This window comes from Homo sapiens, chromosome 12 (genome assembly GCF_000001405.40).
Source record: "Homo sapiens chromosome 12, GRCh38.p14 Primary Assembly".
Taxonomy (NCBI): domain Eukaryota; kingdom Metazoa; phylum Chordata; class Mammalia; order Primates; family Hominidae; genus Homo; species Homo sapiens.
This window is the reverse complement of record NC_000012.12, coordinates 51434690-51455752: the sequence shown is the minus strand read 5'-3', so window position 1 is coordinate 51455752 and position 21063 is coordinate 51434690. Positions and strand designations below refer to the sequence as shown.

Sequence of the window (21063 nt, the reverse complement as noted above, 5' to 3'; positions counted from 1 at the left end):
GCTTACCCCTCCCCTGGGTCCTCCTATGATCCCAGAGAGACAGAATGACTTGGATACTTGAAATAGAGAAAGATTTGGAGAAATATTTCTTAACCTGTCCAGCCAAACAGAACCAATTCAAGAGAAAACTCCCCCATGCATCCAGGTGTTTCTCCATTCAGGCCCCAAACATAATAACTTAACACTCAATCACATCAGGAAGAACAATCAGATATCTCCCCTTCACATCTTACTGAAGAGGTAGGGGCACTTTGGCTCAAGTTCCTGAATATCTGCCCTAGATGCTATATTTTAAAGTCTTTAATTCTCTTTACTCCTTTTTTCCACACAACTTCCAGTTGCCCCTTTCTCTAATTATTATCAAGCATGTCTCTGTCGTTGCACTTTTTTTAATTGTTATTTCCATGGCTATTTCCCCCACTTGAAGGCGAGCTCCTTGAAGGTAGGAACCGTTTCTTTCTTTTACTTTTTTTTTTTTTTTAAGAGACAGGGTCTCACTGTGGGGAAAAGCAAGAGAGATCAGATTGTTACTGTGTCTGTGTAGAAAGAAGTAGACATAGGAGACTCCATTTTGTTATGTGCTAAGAAAAATTCTTCTGCCTTGAGATTCTGTTAATCTATAACCTTACCCCCAACCCCGTGCTCTCTGAAACGTGTGCTGTGTCAACTCAGAGTTAAATGGATTAAGGGCGGTGCAAGATGTGCTTTGTTAAACAGATGCTTGAAGGCAGCATGCTCCTTAAGAGTCATCACCACTCCCTAATCTCAAGTACCCAGGGACACAAAAACTGCGGAAGGCCGCAGGGACCTCTGCCTAGGAAAGCCAGGTATTGTCCAAGGTTTCTCCCCATGTGATAGTCTGAAATATGGCCTCGTGGGAAGGGAAAGACCTGACCGTCCCCCAGCCCGACACCCGTAAAGGGTCTGTGCTGAGGAGGATTAGTAAAAGAGGAAGGAATGCCTCTTGCAGTTGAGACAAGAGGAAGGCATCTGTCTCCTGCCTGTCCCTGGGCAATGGAATGTCTCGGTATAAAACCCGATTGTATGCTCCATCTACTGAGATAGGGAAAAACCGCCTTAGGGCTGGAGGTGGGACCTGCGGGCAGCAAAACTGCTTTGTAAAGCATTGAGATGTTTATGTGTATGCATATCTAAAAGCACAGCACTTAATCCTTTACATTGTCTATGATGCAAAGACCTTTGTTCACGTGTTTGTCTGCTGACCCTCTCCCCACAATTGTCTTGTGACCCTGACACATCCCCCTCTTTGAGAAACACCCACAGATGATCAATAAATACTAAGGGAACTCAGAGGCTGGCGGGCTCCTCCATATGCTGAACGCTGGTTCCCCGGGTCCCCTTATTTCTTTCTCTATACTTTGTCTCTGTGTCTTTTTCTTTTCCAAATCTCTCGTCCCACCTTATGAGAAACACCCACAGGTGTGTAGGGGCAACCCACCCCTACACTCACTCTGCTACCTAGGCTGGAGTGCAGTGGCACAATCTTGACTCACCGCAGCCTTGACCTGCCAGGCTCAAGTGATCCTCGTGCCTGAGCCTCTTGAATAATTGGGACTACAGGTATGAGCCACCATGCCTGGCTAATTTTTGTATTTTTTGTAGAGACAGGGTTTCACCATGTTGACCAGGCTGGCCTGGAACTCCTGAGCTCAAGTTATCCACCCACCTTGGCATCCCGAAGTGCTGGGATTACAGGTGTGAGCCACTGCACCCGAGGGAACTTTATTCATAACCCCATGCCTAGCACATTATCAAGTATATAGCAGATACAAAATAAAACATTTGCTGAATAAACAGACAAATGGAAACTTAACACCATGTCATTTGAATACCATAATACACCTGTGAAGTAGGTAGAGTCGTTTATTAGCCTGAAACCCTTCCCACAGCCAAGGACATTGAGGCCAGGAAGGTTGTGGCTTGCCCAAGGACACACAACCCACTGTATTCTTTCTGTCACGCCACACTCCTTTTTTCCCACACTTCTTAAATTTATAAGAAAGTTGCTCTGTTTTCCCTTCCCCAACCTTACCTGAAATTTCTTCTATGCTATTTGCATGCATATCCAGGAGGACTGTTCCATTAATAAGGCAGCTCCTTAGCTCAAACAGGCTGTGCAATGAAAGGGTTGCCACATAAGGCTTGCTCCAGCGTTCTCCCCCATCTTCAACATCTTCTTCAAACTTCAGCCACCTGAAAGCATTACAAATAACTAGATGCCAAAGATAGAAAATGAGGAATTTTTAAGAGAGAATCTTCGATGTGAGCCACAGAGGAAGATATCTGGATAGTCATACTGAACATTGTAAAATCTAATCTGTATGTTCAGGGTACATTGATAAGTGAAAAAAGCAGGTAATAGAACACTGCAAGATTGAGTATAGTTTAATTCCATTCTTATTTAAAGAAAATTCTAAAAGTCAAATACATACATGTATAAGACACCAAATATTATATTCCTCATTAACCCTGCAGTTGTGGAATTACAGATAATTTTTTTCTTCTTTTTGCTTATCTTTATTCTTAAACTTTCTATAATGAGCATGCATTACCTGTACAATTAAAAAAATAGATTTAATCTATATCATTTGGATACACTGACAAACCACATTAATAAAATGATATTTTTCTTTTTATCATTGTCCTGTGTGACCTTTAGAAGTTTGCCAAGATGGAATAACAAAAGACTAATTGCCTTTTCACTTGGTACCAGGTCAATTGGCCTGTTTGAATCTCTCAGCCCATAACATTCACAATACAGCAGGCACCCAGCAAGAGCTGTTTCAGTGAGAGCTGAAGCCATGCTTTGCTAATTACCCATCTCGCTCCTTCCCCAAAGCTCAGGCATCATCCGTAAGGTTCACTGGTCAGTTACTAGAGGACCCTAGACATGTCCTTGGTTATCCTGAGGGCTCTTCTGGGATTTGAGTCTCAGAGAAGCATAATTATTCTACAACCACTTCAGGAAGCCTACAGTCAGGCTGGATATAATCCCAAGGGTCTCTAGATAGCTTGAATTGTCCCAGAGGAAGTTAAAGTCTCAAAAACTCTGTGACTGCTGGTGAATTTGAACCCTGTGGTTCACCTGCAGAAGAAGTCTGGACCTATGCTATGTCTGCTAAACTAGGTCCCCACCAAGGTGGCCCTGTCTACATCTTCTAAGTCAGACCTATAATAATACCAAGATAGCCCATAAACTTACTCTGAGCCCCAAACAAATGAGAGGGGCCCCCCTGAATATCCCATGTTATTTCACCAATCCCATGCTCCAGGTCAACTGGCATAGGTAACACCAAAGACATCATAAAGATGCCAACACCAAAATTCTCCACAGGAGACACTGGAATGTCAGTCCCCATGTCAGTCACAGCTTCTCCCAAGAAGAAATAAGGCAGGCAGGCCTGTCACTTGCTGAAGGGTACACACTTGCCTACCCAAGCAGATCTTGATGCAGGCCATTTTAGGGCCTCACCTGGCTGTTTCCTTCCACTCAGCATCTTCTCCCTCTTTCATACAGATCTCATCCAGCTCTGTAAACAGCTCATGAGGCACATGCTCTTCATCTTCCTCGGTGCCAAGAATGAACTGAACACGCTGAGATGGTGTGTCTAGGAAATCAACCAAAGAGAAAGGTCTGCTCTAGCCTCACACTTAGAACAGAAATAGCATTCTTCCTTACCTAACAACTTTAGAAATATATATAGACAACCACGAATGCAGAAGAAAAAGATTTCTTTATTCTCAGAGAAAAAGCTACTCTGTAGAAGTAGTTTCATGGGAGGAAAAATTTATGAATGAAGACCACTTGAAGAAAACCCACGAGAAACTGGAAAACTGATGAATTTGATCAAAAAGATTGGCTAATTCTCTAGCAAGGGGTTTTACCTATTATAGTATTGATTTTAGGGGGTCAGAACTGTGAAGTTTTCTTTTCTTTTTTTTTTTTACATTTGCTTTCAGTTTTTAGGTTTTTGGTTTTATAGTAGCCACCTTATTAAAATGATTTTCATTCCCATATTGTTCTTTTCTTCTGAAAATAGGTACAAACTCATACTCACACACACACACTTATTCCATAATTTTCTTACACCTAAAGTTTGTCTTTAGACTAATATATATTTAACTCTATGTGAATCAAAAAGTCTGTGTGTTTGCAGGCAGACAGGCCACATGTTCAAACAAAAATATATAACAATTTTGAAAAAATATTAAGAGTTTAGAAATGAATTTTATTTATACTCACATATAATTTGTATTATGACCATAAAAATAACCCTATAGTAAATAACAATTTAATTGTATATTTTAAAATTTAAAAACAGTGGCCGGGTGCGGTGGCTCACGCCTGCAATCCCAGTACCTTGGGAGGTCAAGGCAGGCGGATCACGAGGTCAGGATATCGAGACCGGATCACAAGGTCAGGAGATCCAGACCGTCCAGGCTAACACAGTGAAACCCGGTCTCTACCAAAAATACAAAAAATTAGCCCGGCGTGGTGGCGGGCGCCTGTAGTCCCAGCCGCCCGGAACTGTGAAGTTTTCACGAAAATATTTTTGACTCTTAGAGGCATTTCTTCTTAGAAGCAAGCTTTGGAAATCCTACAAAAAGGCTCAAGAATCAAGACCAGCTGCTAATGTCAGTCACATGTCCCCTCAGCCTCCCCATTCCCCTGGGCCATGGACACCCGCCCTGTCTCCCAAGGCCCTTACCGTGGGCCAGGGCTTCCAGGCCTTCCTCCCCCTGGCTGGCTCCTTTGCCCCGCCCTCGTCTCCGGTGCTTCTGGCCATGAGTGCGGTGATGCCGATGGCTCTGCCGGCCAAGCGGCATCCGAACTCCCACATACAGAGTTCTGTGACCTGGAAAGAAGCAGAAGGTCTGTGGAGAGAACTCCTTTAGTTTTAAAAAACAACAACAACAAAAAGCCTAGCATAGTTAAGAGAAAAAAATATCACAGTTCTTTGGTCTGGTCACAGCTCTGGAACAACAAAACTTCAAAGACTTCCAGGAGTAAAGATATAGAGATTTTGGAGTTGAAGGTCTCTTCCTTTGTCCTGCACATGCCTGCAAACTTCACAGGGATCTTGTGAAGACTGAAAGAAATAATGTGATTTCCAAACTGTAAAGGCTGATTCAGATGTTATTGTTATGACAATGACAATGACAATTTGACTGAGTGATTTTTTTAAAAGGCAATACAGTTGCTCTATGACAAGTGTGGCAGGTCTTGGCAGGGAGGCAGTTTAGAAAAGTCGTTAAGAGCACAGGTAAGGCTCAAATCAGCCCACCTGGGTCCAAAACTCAATTCCATCATTCACTTGCCATGTGACCTTGAACAATTTATCTAATCTCTCTGTGACTCATCTTTAAGAAGAAATATTAAAAGCTTAGTATTTAAACTCAGAGTTTTCATAAGCAGTAAATAAGGTTATGCATGCAAAATGCTTAACACATGCCTGGAATAAATTGTAGCAGCCTAGGATGTATTCATCCTAGGATCAGCTTCCATTATTTTATTTTCTACATTGTAGCATACACAATCTAGAACAGTACTAAAAGAGACTAGTTGTAAGTCATGAGGAGGGTGAGGCTAAGGTTAAAAAAAGACATTAAATACTGTACAAAGAGAGGGGAACATGAGAAAATAAGTGACCCAATAGTGTTCCCTCCCTAGTTCCTCTGCTCCTATTTCTTCTTTTTCTTCTTGAGACAGTATCTCACTCTGTCACCCAGGCTAGAGGGCAGTAGCCTGGTCATATCTTACTGTAGCCTTGAACTCCTGGGCTCAAGCAATCCTCCCACCTCAGTCTCCCAAGTAGCTAGGAATACATGTGTGCACCACCACACCCAGCTAATTTTTCAATTTTTTGTAGAGATGGGGTCTCGCCACGTTGCCCAAGCTGATTGCCCCAAGCAATCCTACTGTCTCCACCTCGAAAGCACTGGGTTTACAGGCATGAGTCACCACATCTGGCCTCATTCCTTCTATAAGCCTGCTTTTGTTTTGATCCAGATTTCCAGATCTCTGTCACCTCTACCTGGCTTTCCCTTGCCTTCCTGCCAAACCTGGAGCCCAGAATTTGGGGCTGCTGATGCTCCCATGCCCAATGCACCATGCCTTGGTCTTCTCCCATTTCTGCCTGGTTACTGCTGCTCAGCACTCTAGATCTCAGACCCATTCCCCACATCTTCCACCAAAGGAGCTGTTCTAATCCTTAGCCACTGTCTTCAAATCCACAACCTTATCCACATTCCTTCCTGCTGAGAGCAGGTGACTTTGCATCAGTTTTTTTTTTTTTCCTTTCTTTTTTAGATAGGGTCTCACTCTGTTGCCCAGGCTGGAGTGTGGTGTTATGATCACCACTCATGGTAGCCTTGAATTCCCAAGTTCAAGTGATCCTCCCATGTAGCTGGGACCACAGGCGTGTACCACCACGCCCAGCTAATTTTTTTGATTTTTAGTAGAGACAAGTCCTGCCATGTTGCCCAGGCTTGTTTCAAACTCCTGAGCTCAAGCGATTCTCCTGCCTTGGCCTCCCAAAGTACTGGGATTACAGGTGTGAATCACTGCACCCAGCCCTCACTTCAGTTTTTCCTGAGAAGAGATGGAAGAAGTTCTTCTCTTCCTCAGTCTGGCTTGCTCTCCTCTGCCAAGCTGGGTATGTTAATGAGTATGACTCTATCCCATTGTCTCCCACCCCTCTGGTATCCTGTTGCTTCTGTTATCCTCAGTCTCTCCTTTCCATCCATCCCTGCCATAGGTTTCTCCTGACTTCTTAAAAAGAAACCTTCCCAAGCAGTGCTACCCACCCAAGCTTCTGCTGTTTCCTCTTTCCTTCTTTATCAAACCACTTCCAAAAACAGTCACAACCTAACTCCCTTTCCTCACCACTTCCTTGTTCCACAGCCTCTGCATATGGCTTCTGACCCCAGTCTCTGCTGAAGCTTCCCTCATTAGGGACACCACACCACTCATTCACCAAATCTCTATCATCTTACATCTCTCTCAGCTTAGTTCAAAAGACTTTCTTGAGAGCCCACCACGTTGCAGGCAGTATCCAAACCACTTGGGTGCTCTGGGCTCCCTGAGCTCCGGTGCCACTGCCCTCCCCTGGTTCACTTGCACTACTCTGACTGTGCTGCTCCATCCCCCAACAAGCCACCAAAGGAAAGCTCCTCAAGTTTCTGTCCTTGGCCCTTTTCTTCCTTTTTAGTGCTAAACACTCTTCTGTTTTCAAAATTCACTTCTACAAATGACCTTCAAATCTCTATCTACAATGATTGAACATGTCACAAAGCAAACTCACCATCCTCCATCTCAAATCGGTCTTATACTCATTCCATGTTTCTGTTCATGGCCTTGTCATTCTCTCAATTTCCTAGGCTTGAAACCGAGCGTTACCTTAGATTTTCAACTCCATTCCCTTTCTCCCTCACCGTACTTTCTATAGATTAGGGCCATCAAAACTCCCACTTTAACAAAGCAGGGGCCCCTTCCTGCCTCTCACATTAAATTAACCCTGCAAACAAATCCTCCTAGTTACATCTCTGATCATGGCTCACCCATATGAATTCAGGACCTTCATGCTCAGTACTCAATCTCCTTTTTAATCTTTTCTTCTTTTAATACCAATTATACATTCAGTGGGAAAATAAAATGAAAGACCTCTCAAGAACTGAATAACAAGTTCAAGAGAAATAAAAAGTGGAAATCCCAGCCGGACGTGGTGGCTCACGCCTGTAGTCCCAGCACTTTGGGAGGCCGAGGCAGGCGGATCACAAGGTCAGGAGATCAAGACAATCCTGGCTAACATGGTGAAACCCCGTCTCCACTAAAAAAAATACAAAAAATTAGCTGGGCATGGTGGTGGGTGCCTGTAGTCCCAGCTACTTAGGAGGCTGAGGCAGGAGAATGGCATGAACCTGGGCGGCGGAGGTTGCAGTGAGCAGAGATCGCGCCACTGCACTCCAGCCTGGGTGACAGAGCGAGACTCTGACTCAAAAAAAAAAAAAAAAAAAAGTGGAAATCCCACATGCTCACAGAGAATCAACATTCTGGGGGGGAAATATCTAGAGATGTATAACTGCCATGTACCTCAGCAACCAAATGGCCTGGTTTTGACTCCATCTCCTCTTCATGGCCTTGACTGCTGTACCCACCATCACCTCATACTCTTTTCTCTACCAGAATCAAACTGCCATTCCACAAATGTGCCAGTGCTTTCTGGACACTGGCTTGGCTCACTTATTCAAGATGCACTGCAGATGCATCTTCCTTCTTGGTATTTTTTCTGATTTCCCCCATCAGATGTGCTGCCTCATTCCTTTAAATTCCCAGTGCCAGGCCAGGCACAGTGGCTCAAACCTGTAATCCCAACACTTTGGGAGGCCAAGGCAGGAAGACTGTTTAAGGCCAGGAGTTTGAGACCAGCTTGGGCAACTTAGTGAGACCTCATCTCCACAAAAGGTGTAAAAAAAAAAAAAATTAGACAGGTGTGGTGGTGTGCACCTATAGTCCTAGCTATTTGGAAGGCTGAAGTGGTAGGATTGCCTGAGCCCAGGAGTTCAAAGCTGCATGAGCTTATGAGCTATGATCATTACCACCGCACTCCAGCCTGGGTGACAGAATGAGACCCTATCTCTAGATAGATAGATAGATAGATAGACAGATAGATAGACAGACAGACAGACAGACAGGCAGGCAGGCAGATTCCCAGCACCCTTGGTTAGTGCTGTTCTCATGTACTTATTTTTCTATTTTGCGTTAAAGTTAAGCAGCTATCTCTCTTATTCTGCACTCTTCTCTTGCAATCTCCTTGGTGTCCCAAGTTAGACGTTTCTCTCAGAATGCCTACATAATCAAGCACAGTGTTTCACACATGGTCATTGTTCCATAAATGTTCAGCAAATAAAATACCTCCTAAGTACCTCCCTGAAGAGCATAAGCCCTTAGGACCTCCTCAGGAGTACATAATCTCACCTAAGAGGGCCTCTGACTCTGACCTGAAAGGGGCCACAAAAAGAACATGTAACCAAAGTGAATGTGTTTAGGACAAATAAAGTACTCACCAGGGCATGGGGAGGTTGATAAAGTCCTAACTGACCTGAGAATGGAGAGCTTCATCAGGAAGACTTCCCCGAGAAGGAGACTTGGTGGGAAGAGTTGCCAACTCTTTATCTTCTTCTTTTCCCAGCAATGGGGTTTCCTAAGGCTGCACTCAACTTCCTTGATAGTGCCCTCCACTTCCAAGTCAGGTTAAAGTGCCTTGGATGCCATTCTAACACCTTTCTCTATTTGTCTCTCCTTTTATTTGCCCTCTCTGTTTTCCAAATTCCAAAGTGATAAAGCAAAATAAAAAACAAACAGTAAGGATTAGAGGATAAGATGATCAGAGATCTGCTAGAATGTTAAGAGGCAGGAGGATAAAATGTTTAGTATCTGGTGGAATCGCACTTCTTACCCTCCTGTCTCAGGAGAGTTCTCTGTTGCCTCGTGTATATCTCAGGTCATTTTTAACAGGCAGATCTCTGAACATAATGTAGTCATCTTGCAACTTCATAGAAACAGAAATATAGAGCCAGAGGAGGTCATCTGCTAAGATGTGGGATTCCAGACCCTGACATTATCAGTATAAACTATAAAAAGCATATAGCGTGAAAATACTAAATTGAATACCATCTTAATAAAATACAATTTGTTAACTCATTATGTTCCATTATAGTATGTTAATGAAATCCCTGTAGCACACTACTGAGACCAACCCAGGTGGCATTAGCAGCAGACTAGAGTCAAGTAATTGTGCCAGATCCTGTCCCAAGGGCTGGGGATACAATAGTGAACAGAACAAAGTCTTCAGGACACATATTCTGCTTGGGGGGGGTCAGAAATGAAAACAAAAATATATCATTTAAATATTGATTATTACTATGAACCAAATAAGGTAAAATGCTAGCGTGTCTAGGGTAAGGGGTAGGATGGAGAAGGGAGACTTTAAGATGATTAGAGGGGACATCTAAGTGATAAGAAGGAGAGGCCATGAGAAGACCTGGGAGAAGAGTATTCCAAGAAGGGGGAAGATCAAGTGCACAGGTCCTAAGGTGGGAATGTGCAGAGCTGGTTCTGGGGCAAAAGGATGGCCAGTAGGGCCAGGGCAGGGTAGAAAAGGGAAGGAAAGGAGATGTACAAGGACAGAAAAACAGGCAGGGGCAGGTCATGAAGAATCTATGTGCTGTAAAAAGCATAATTCGATCCTGAACAACCACTTCTGGCCAGGCACAGCGGCCCACACCTGTTATCTCAACACTCTGGGAGGCTAAGGAAGGAGGATCACTTGCATTCAGTAGTTTGAAACCAGCCTGAGCAACACAGCAAGATTCCACCTCTATAAAAAATAAAAAATTAGCCAGGCATGGTGGTGCATGCCTGTAGTCCCAGCTATTGGGAGGCTGAGGTGGGAGGTCACTTGAGCCCAGGAGGTGGAGGCTGTGGTGAGCCATGATCGCACTACTGCACTCAGTCTGGGCGACAGAGTGAGACCCTGCCTCAAAACAAAACAAAACAAAATTTAAAACTAAACAACCACTTTGGCCTCTAAAATGATGACCTGGTGTTGTAAAATCTAGTACAGCTAGATAGAGCTGGACTTAGGTTAAGAACAGCCTCAGTGAGAGGTGACTTTCAGTTCTTCAATACAGCCATCCCAACCATGGGTTTCCTCTTCCCTACAAACCCCGCAAAGGATTACTAGCCAGGCTAGAACCTCTACTTCTCCTTGCTCCTTGAGCCCATTCCAAATACTTCCACTGGGCTCATGCTGGTATACTGCTAGTATTATTTAATTTTAAAGGAGAAATTGAGGAGGCAGTGATTGGATATTAGAAACTGCATTATTAGATTTCATGTTATTGGTTTAAATTACTCACTGTCACTATTAAAGTAAAACAAGGAGGCCAGACCAAATGACTTCCCAGGCTTGTCCAGATGATGGCTAGTCCAGGTTCTAATGTTCGAGTCCTATGAAAGTTTCAGGCTAGGTTATTCTTCAGAAAAGACACGATGGTTCAATTGTTCTCACTGTCCTGACTTATTACTGCAGAAAGGGACTACAGAAGGGGCTTAGTAAATGTTTGCTGAGTGAATAATATATGGTTTTGCTTGGTATCTAAATTCCCACTATGTAGGTTTGAGGCATAATGGTGAAGACATCCTATAGATGCCTTGAATGGTTCTGTAGGAAGTAAGGTAAATCTTACTTTAGTACAATCAATTATCACGAACATTAGCCAATCGCAATGCCTGTCTTTTGAAAATATCAGAGAGACAGGCAGAAATGAAATCAAGTTCGGCAGGGGGTCAGAGCTAAGAAGGACCAAGCGGCTGTCAGAAAATCAGGCATCAGTTTCTAGTCTGGGAGTTCTAAAGCAAGGATTTGGATTTTCTGAGAAAAATTGGCAGAAAAGATGACAAACAGACACTAGGAAATGAATATAGCACCAATAAAATCCAGTCCATCTAACTGGATTCTGGCCACCCAGTGACTTCATTAAACTAATTCTGTGGTCACTTTGTTGGCCATTCAACCGCTCTTTGCCCCCGTCTTCTACCTACCAACTCGCACAAATCCCATTTTTTTCCCATCTAACTCGTCATTCTTTTTTCCAAAAAAGGTCAAACCTAGTCTTTTGGAACTATCTGTGTGCAAATAAAGTATTCTAATTTAGTAAAAATTATGGGAAAGATGTAATTTTAGTCTATAGTTTAAAAAATAAGTACATATACACATGCAGAGAGCAATCTTTAGTGAACTGGCAATGAATCATGTGAAGCAGGACAGGAACCATAGGTTTGACGTACCCTGCAGATGGAGATTGGGCCTACTAAGGTACAATGCAGTACACGCACACTGCTTACCCAGCACTCACACAGAGCTCATTAGCACATACAACAGGGTGCTCGGCTCCTCTGGGCTTACAGGTTAACTCAAAGTCAATAACTGCAGAGGTGAATCTCACATGTCGAGCAGATGTAAGCCTTTTTAGAAGTTATAAATATGACCAAATGGCTCTTACCTCTGTTAAAAACGTATTAGAAGGCCTTAAACTCACTCCAGAGTTCATTAATCTAGTAGTTAATCAGGAATAATGATCTGCCAGGAAAAAATGGAAAAAGCCATCCCTCTAACTAAAGCAACTGCCTCTTGTTCCTCTGGGACTGGGAAAGTCCACTGAAGCACATCATGGACTATTGCTCTTCTTGAGTTCATCTTTGGAACGTGTTCTGATGTTGGCTTTTGACTCTTCTCACATATTAAAAAAAAAGCAACATAATGGCTTAATGCAACTTCTCTTACTGATAGAATTAATTTATGCAAAAGACCCACACTTACAAAGTTTCTAACAATGTACACAGACTAAATCTCAGAAATAGTTCTTAAAATGGGGTAAGGATAGCCAGGCATGGTGGCACGTGCCTGTAGCCCCAGCTACTTGGGAGGCTGGGGTGGGAGGATCACTTGAGCCCAGGAGGTCAAGGCTACAGTGGGCTAAGACTGGGTCACTGCACTCCAGCCTGTGTGACAGAGCAAGACTGCCTCAAAAAACAATCAAACAAAAACAAAAAACTCATATTCTTGGACTAGAGGTTGTTGTTTAATATAAATAAATAAAATGTGGTAAGGCAATGATTTATAGTTTATGTCATGTGGGCAGAAGTTATGACATAAAGGGGAAAAAAGACCTGGAGATTTTTTTTGCAGCCACAGAACCTGATATCATGGCATGCATATTGAATCTGAACACAATTTGCTTCTGTGTTCCATCAAAATGGTACTCGTTTTATTCTATGCCTTCAAGAGATAACACTACCCTGAGTACAGCCTCATTGAGTCCTAGGGCTGCCCTTCGGAGTGAGTCTGAGTGGAACCCACAGCACAGCCAACCCTATAGCAAATCCCAACTCTCTCTTCTCTTCTCCAGAGCTGGTCTAGAAACCACATCAGGCCTGAGATCTGGTTCTAGTTTGTCCACCATTTGCGTGTAATGCTTTTTTTTTAAGTGTTAACATAAATAAGATTCTAGTTTTCAAAAAAGTCTACGTACAAAGGACCATCTCCCAACACACTATGCACTAGTAAGGCTGTCATCACAGACAGCATTCTTTTTTAGCAAAGTAGAACATGCATAAAGAACAGATGATGTCATCTGGAGAAGCTGCTCCCACCGCCAGTTACTCAGCTGATCTCCGTGGATGGAACCAGTTGTTAAGATTCAAGAGAGCTTGCTCAGGTTTCTTATTCTACTCCCAAGTAGACAAGAGTGTTCATAAATGGTTACCTCCTTGCTGAGGGCAAAGGTCCAGTGGTGCTTGCTATAGAACAACTAAACTGACAGCAACATGCCCCCAGGATGCAATGAGAGGGTAGAGAGACCACATGATTATCAGAACAGAAGAAGAGGCAAGAGCAACATACAAAAATTTTATTTGATGGAGCAAGATATTGAGGTTGGGTGGTTAATGACAGTTACTGTCCTCTCTTGCAGGCTGTGTGGCAGAATGAAAAGAGCAGGATTCTCTCCCCAGCCTCACCTGCAATTAGGCTCGATGACCTTGAGCAGTTTCCTCATGTGTAAAATAGGGATAATGATACCTACCTGCCTGGGGTGCTATGAAGATGAAAAGGACAACTTGTATAAGGTGCCTAATCTAATGCCTAACACACAAGGGGCATTCAACAAATGTTAGCCTTCCATTCCACACCCTTTCCTTCTCCCACTCCCTCCCAACTGCTGCAACTCACATGTTCTCTTCTTCCATCTGGTCAAAATAACTTGGAAAACTTCACCTTGGTATACCCAAACACCACTGACCTCCACAGAGCCACCCACGTCAGTTCTCATGGTAACAGACCCAGAGGCTGAGTCAGCCTCTACAGCTTCCGTTCTCCCCATCAAAAGGACAAGTTTTCTCTGGAGGTTGTACAACTTTGATGAAAAAACTGTCACGGGAACAGGCAGTACAGAGAGAACATTTCACATGCTGTCTCAGGCATCAGAAAGTTGCTGTATCATAGCCTTCAACATTGCAGGGGATGCTGCAGAGATTTCACAAAGGCTTTTGAGCCAAATGTGGCTTCTCATTAAAGCTATATTGGATACTGGACATGAGCCTTCCTCTAATGAAACTGAGCATCAACACTAATTAGAAAACCATGGCCAGGTGTGGGTCCAACTCCTAACACACCAACTAGTCCCCAGGGGAAAAAGGAAAGCAGGACACCACATAACGGTTATGTGGGGAGCTGGGGGTGAGGTGCAGAGAAAGGAAGAGCTGAAATAAGGTAAACTGGACAGAGTGGGTCATCCAAAATGCCTCTTCTTTCCTTTCCCCTTCAGCTGGGCTTTTATATAACTTTGATGTTATGAACTCAAGAGTATGTCACAGGTGTGTTCCTGTTTTCCCTCTTGTTTAGATGAAACCACCAGGCAGAAATGGGTATAAATAGAATAGAAACAGTAAATATTGGAAATGGGGTAAAAATAGGGTTTTGTAGCCAAAATGAGTTTTTAAAACTATTTGTATTTTATTTTCTCTTTAAGTTTTGTATTTATTTGTATTTCCAGGCAGTTGTCAAGAATTAACGCACTGAACTGAGTACATCACATTCTCAAAGAACAGGTTACTTGTTAATATTTATATTGGACTTCACCGTGTTCAAAGCACTATCTCCCATGTAGGCAATTAGATCCTAATGATATCCCTGTAAGGTAGGACAAGTATTAGTATCCCCACTTTTATTTACCAGATGAGGAAAGTGAGGCTAAAGGAAATCAAGTGATTTTCCCCAAGGTCTGACAGCTAGTGAGAGAGTTAGGACACAGAGCCAGGTCTTCCCACACCAGGCTGCCCCTCACCAATTTCCCTGATCACACAGCATGGCAGTTCTTACCTTCCAGCTCTTCTTTTTCATAGTGAATGTTGAGAATTGTACTGGTCCCACCCTGATCCACCACAGCTTCTTCATCTGGTCTCTGTTTAAACACAAATAAGTAGTCACAGTAATACACATACCTCGTTCAAATATACAAACCTTGTGTATGCCAGATCCTTTTGAGATACTTACGGGGGAAACACAATTGTTTACCTGTATTTTTACATGTGAACTTCACAATACCTTTTAGATGCAAATATGGTAGCCATTATCTTTCTCATTTTATAAATGAGCAGACTGACACTCAGAGAACATTAAGTAATGATGGCCCAGGGTCACAAATGTCATAAAAGGCGGAGCTAGGACTGAGCCTAGGTCTTTTAAAAAAAAAAAAAAACAGAGAGAGAATGGGTCACCCAGGCTATATTGCAGTGATACAATCATAGCTCACTGCAGCCTTGAACTCCTGGGCTCAAACAATTCTCCTACCTCAGCCTCCAGAGCAGCTGGGATTACTAGGACGTGTCATGAGCCCAGGTCTTGTGGCTGTAAATCTCATGCCTTTTCCACCTCCCCACTCCATCTATACCTCTGTATAACATTTTGGCATTTTGCAAGTGCTGTGAAGCAAGTTGTCCCATTTGGTGTAGATTGGTCTCCTTGGCCTCTTTGCAGCATTTGGGCCTGTTTACCACACGCTGTCCTTGAAATTTTCCATCCTGCTCCTCTTATCAGGCCTCCTCTGTCTCATCCTTAGTCTTTTTCTTCCTCTAACCATAATTTCCAAGAAAGAGCTCTCTACTCTTTGTTTTCCTCACTTAAGACTTACAATTTCAACTGCAGTCTGAAACTGTGGTTCAGTAATTGATAAGCCACTAGGATGCCACACCTCAAGAACCATGTGTCTAAAACCCAACTAACTTTCCTTCCAAAACTAACACCCTGTGCTCATTTGTTTATTCCTACCAATGGCACCATCATTTATTAGCCCACAGGTGAAATTTCAAAGTTACTTATTCATCCATTCCACATGTATGAGTGCCTACCATATGCCTTCAGGTAGCTAGTTCCCTTTTCTTACCAAGTCTTTCTTCCTTTGCAATTTCTCTAAAAAATTAATTTTCATCTCTCATCCACTCTTCCCTACATGCTCCAACCCTTTAAATCATATTAGGCATTTCTTTCTTTTTTTTTTTAGTTCTGGAACCACACCCACCTTCTTTACTTAGTGCTGCTGTCTCTTCCTGGAACTACCATTCTCTCCCTGCCACTCCCACCACCTGCCCCCACCTTTGATGATGATCAAAGAGATGATGATCTCTTTGATCTCAGCCTCAACACACTTACTTGGAAGCCTTTCCTGATTACCCACTCCGACTTCCAAACTAAGCTAGGTCCACCATTTATATACCCTCATAGCACACTGCAATTCTCTTAGTAATAAAATGTCTTGGCCGGGCATGGTGGCTCACACCTGTAATCCCAACACTTTGGGAGGCCAAGGCAGGTGATCACCTGAGGTCAGGAGTTCAAGACTGGCCTGACCAACATGGTGAAACCCCATCTCTACTAAAAATAAAAAAATTATCTGGGTGTGGTGGTGCGTGCCTGTAGTGCCAGCTACTCAGGAGGCTGAGGCAGGAGAATCACTTGAACCTGGGAGGCAGAGGTTGCAGTGAGCTGAGATCGCACCATTGTACTCCAGCATGGGCAACAGAGCGAGACTCTGTCTCAAAAAAAATAAAAAAAGTCTCCTCTGTTCCTTGAGGAAGAAGGAACTATGTCCATCTTCCTCACCACTGTATCCTAGCACCCAGCACAGACTTTTCACATAACAGTGCTCTATAAATCTTTGTTAAAAGAATGAATACACAATTCTCAAAAGACAAACAAATAGTCAACAAATATATGAAAAAATGCTCAACATCACTAATCATCAGGGAAATGCAAATCAAAACCAAAATGAGGTATCATCTCACTCCAGTTAGGATGGCTATTATCAAAAAGACAAAATATAACAAATGCTGGCAAGGATATGAAGAAGAAAGAACCCTTATACACTGTTGGTGGGAATATAAACTAGTACAGCCACTGTGGAGAACAGTGGAGGTTCCTCAAAAAACTACAAACAGAACCACCATATAATCCAGTAATCTCACTACTGGGCATTTATCCAAAGGAAAGGAAATCACTATATTAAAGAGACATCTGCATCCCCACGTTTATCGCAGCACTATTCATAATAGCCAAGATATGGAATCATCCTAGGTGTCCAACAACAGATGAATGGATAAAGAAAATATGGCATATATACACAGCAGAATACTATTCAGCCATAAAAAGTATGAAATCTTGTCATTTGTGGCAATATGGATGGAACTGAAGGACATTATGTTAAGTGAAATAAGCCAGGAACAGAAAGTTAAACACTGCATGTTCTCACTCATATGTGGAAGCTAAAAAAAGTTGATCTCAGAGAAGTAAGAAGTATAAGAGAGAATATTAGAGGCTAGGAAGGCAAGGGGGAGAAGTGTAGGGAGAGATTTGCTAAAGGATAAAAAATTACAACTATATAGGAAGAATAAGTTCTAGTGTTCTATACTATAGTAGGATGACTATAATATAGAGTTTCAAACAGCTAGAAGGAAGATATTGAGTAATCTCAACACAAAGAAATAATAAATGTTTTAAATGATAGATATGCTAATTACTCTGATCTGATCACTATACATTACATGTATTGAAACATCACCATGCACCCCAATGAATATGTACAATATTACTTAAATATTACTTGTCAATTTCAAAATAAAAATTAAACGTTTTAAAAGAATGAATATAATGGCACCTATCCTATCAATACCCTGAATCACAAGACCCTGAATTATTTCAAAAAAACTCTTAGCTGATTTCCCTGGCAATCTATTTCCCTTCTCAAACCTGCAACTCCAGCCAAGCTGACTGATCCCGAGAGCACTGTGCACATTCCCACCTTTATGTCTTTGCTCATATTGTCAGGTCATCTAGTCATCTAACATGCCATTTCCCCAAACTCTCCAGCACATTAAATCCCCACGTCTCCTGTATTAGTCCATTTGCATTGCTATAATGGAATACCTGAGACTGGGTAATTTATTAAGAAAATAGGTTTATCTTGGCTCACAGTTCTGCAGGCTGTACAGGAAGTGTGGTGCTAGCATCTGCTTCTGGTAAGAGAGTCAGGAAGCTCACAATCATGGCAGAAGGCAAAAGGGAAGCTGGTGTATAATATGGCAAGATGGGGGCAAGAGAGAGGGGAGGGCCCAGACTCTTTTAAACAACCAGATCTTGGGTGAACTCAGAGCAAGAACTCACTCATTACTGTGAGGATGGCACCAAGACATTCATGAGGCATCTGCCTCCATGACCCAAACATCTCCCACCAGACCCCATCTCCAACATTGGGGATTACATTTCAACATATTTGGTGGGGACAAATAGCCAAACGATATCACCTTCCTTCTAGATCCTGCTCAAGTTTCCAGCTTACTGTTCCAAAGTTACTATTTTGTAGTTATCATCTATGCTCCCAAATAAGACAACTCTGAACATAAGGCAATTCATTTTCCCAATGGGAAGATTGAAATAAAGTTTTTGAGGCCAACTGGAATAAACAAACTTTTAGGGAAGTAAATAAAATAGTCTAATATCTACTTAGGATTTTTATGTATTAAATTAGCTTTATAGACATTTAAAATTATATATTATTACTACCATGGAAAAATCTCCAAAATATAATATTAAGTTTAAAAAGCAAGATGGAGAAAACTGTATAATTTGCTACCTTTTATCTAACAAAGGGTGTTGGAACATAAGTGTTTGCTTACATTTTAAAACAAATAGGATGACTGCAGTGGCTCATGCCTATAATCCCAGCACTTTGGGAGCCCAAGGCAGGTGGATCACTTGAGGTCAGGAGTTCGAGACCAGCCTGGCCAACATGGTGAAACCCCATCTCTACTAAAAATACAAAAATTAGCCGGGTGTGGTGGTGCACGCCTATAATCCCAGCTACTTGGGAGGCTGAGGCAGGAGAATCACTTGAACCTAGGAGGCAGAGATTGCAGTGAGCCAAGATTACGCCATTGCACTCCAGCCTGGATGACAGAGTGAGACTCCATCTCAAATAACTAACTAACTAACTAAATAAATAAATAAATAACAAATAAAAGAAGAAAAAGTCACAAAAGATTTTTTTAAATAGTTACCTAGAGAGGAGGGAGGGAATAAGATGGAAGAGACAAAGATAGAAACTAGACTTTTTTGAATATGCCTTATTTTGTAAATAATTTACATAATGTAAAATTAAAAATTTTAAAGTAATTCCCCAAAATCAAAAACAAAATGAAAACAAAGGTCAAATTGATGGTATAAATTCCAAGAGAAATTATTCTAAGTAACATTAAAACATAGTAACCTGACTGAACATCCTCAGTGGCATATACTCTAAGGACAAAGAAGAATTTTAAAAGATCTGAAACTGTTTTTTGGTTATCCTATTGTTGGTTGTAGGGTTGGTGTTGGTATTCTGAGGCTTGTTGTGTGTTGTGAGATAAAACAAATGAGTAGCTATGTGAATTTATTCTGTCACTCCCAGTGCGGCTGAGGACTGGGATTCTCGGCAAGAGAGAAAGGAGATACAGTTTTAAGACAAAAGGTAAATAAGAGCCATGCAGTCCTAAATTGAATTGGAAGTATCAACAATAATATACAATGCGTTTTTATTTTTAATGTTTTTAAATTTACAAATTTATATTTTCTAGCTCTGCCCACTCAAAGGCTTAGAAAAAATGATCAATCAGTAGCAATGAGTATAATTAGTACCTACATTATAGTCTCTTAAAATACCATTTTGTAATAAAAGGAATCAGAGCTCCCTGGAGAAATGGCTGGTCATAGGTCCCAGCCAGGAAATGTACAAGGTAAGTCTAAAACATCTTATTATGTTAGATAGTAAGGAAGCACTCGAAGACAACTAGGATTGTGTCCAAAGGACTCAGGAGCCAATTTAAAGGGGTCTCTTGCCAAAAAATAGGACAATTTGAGCATCAGTAGGGTAATGCCTACAACAGATTGACCATGTCAATATGTTAAGATTGATGAGTTCACTTCATAAGGTCACTTTTATTTTATTTGTTTATTTATTTATTTTTAAAATAGAGAGGTGGCGGAGTTGGGGCGGGCGGTCTCACTATGTTGCCCAGGCTGGTCTCGAACTCCTAAGCTCAAGTGATCCTCCCTCCTCAGCCTCCCAAAGTGCTAGGATTACAGGCGCGAGCCACCACGCCTGGCTTCACAAGGTCACTTTTAAAATTAACTAATTGGTCACATTTGGAGGATAACACTAATAAACCAACTCATTACTTTGAAAACTGGCAAATAATTTATCTGGGCTTTCCTAGATAAATTATACCATAGAGTGGTACCACAGAGTAGATGAGAAAAGCTTCTCATTATGGGAGAGACTAAATGAAAAGGGAATGATGGAACAAAATCATTTTGCAATCCCCAATGGATTGTACTGATTTTCAACAGCCACTAACATCACAAAGGAGAGACAATCAGACATTGTATGCCTCCTAATGGGAGACCATATCACCACCCATGAGGTAATCTTACCAAATAAATTGTCCCTGAATCTGATCAAGCCTCTAAATCCAAATACCAATTTACTGAAAGTACAATAAAACAGAGTTCCTTGAAAAACAACACCATGGGAATACAATCAGCAAAATCCAGATTCTGTCCCCTCAAAAGTTCTAGGAGGATAGGTACTGGGTCTTATATTCATCAATATCTACCCAGCACCCAGTACAATGTCCAGTACATGGTAAGTATCCCATACATTTCAATGAATGTTTATTAGTTTTATAAACTCTTTGATAATTGATCAGATGTTTTCTCATAAAACTATATAAATAAATAATTAGATATATGAATAATTATTCATGTTGGCTCCCCTACTGGTTTTTAATATCCAGAGGATAGGAATCAATTAATTATAATACTTGGTACTGTCTTCAGACACCTGACACCACAGAGAACACAGTGGGAATCTAGAGAAACAGAGGGAGGGAGG

The 21063-nt window shown here is 41.9% G+C and overlaps 1 protein-coding gene across 13 annotated transcripts in view; it reads right to left on the bottom strand.

The window, feature by feature from the left end:
- Window positions 1-21063, bottom strand: part of SLC4A8 (solute carrier family 4 member 8) — a 124318-nt gene that overhangs the window by 60011 nt on the left and 43244 nt on the right. For 11 of the 13 annotated variants that reach the window (XM_011539011.2, NM_001258401.3, NM_001405266.1 and 8 more), the window contains exons 2-5: window positions 14964-15045; window positions 4731-4877; window positions 3494-3629; window positions 2054-2214 (exon numbers count right to left, since the gene is read on the bottom strand). In XM_011539011.2, the coding sequence (XP_011537313.1) occupies window positions 2054-2214; window positions 3494-3629; window positions 4731-4848 (415 nt within the window). In that variant the 5' untranslated portion in view covers window positions 4849-4877; window positions 14964-15045. Of the gene's footprint in view, window positions 1-2053; window positions 2215-3493; window positions 3630-4730; window positions 4897-14573; window positions 14775-14963; window positions 15046-21063 lie in introns of those variants that run through there. The other 2 variants (NM_001405270.1, NR_047672.2) reach the window with 2 other exon arrangements.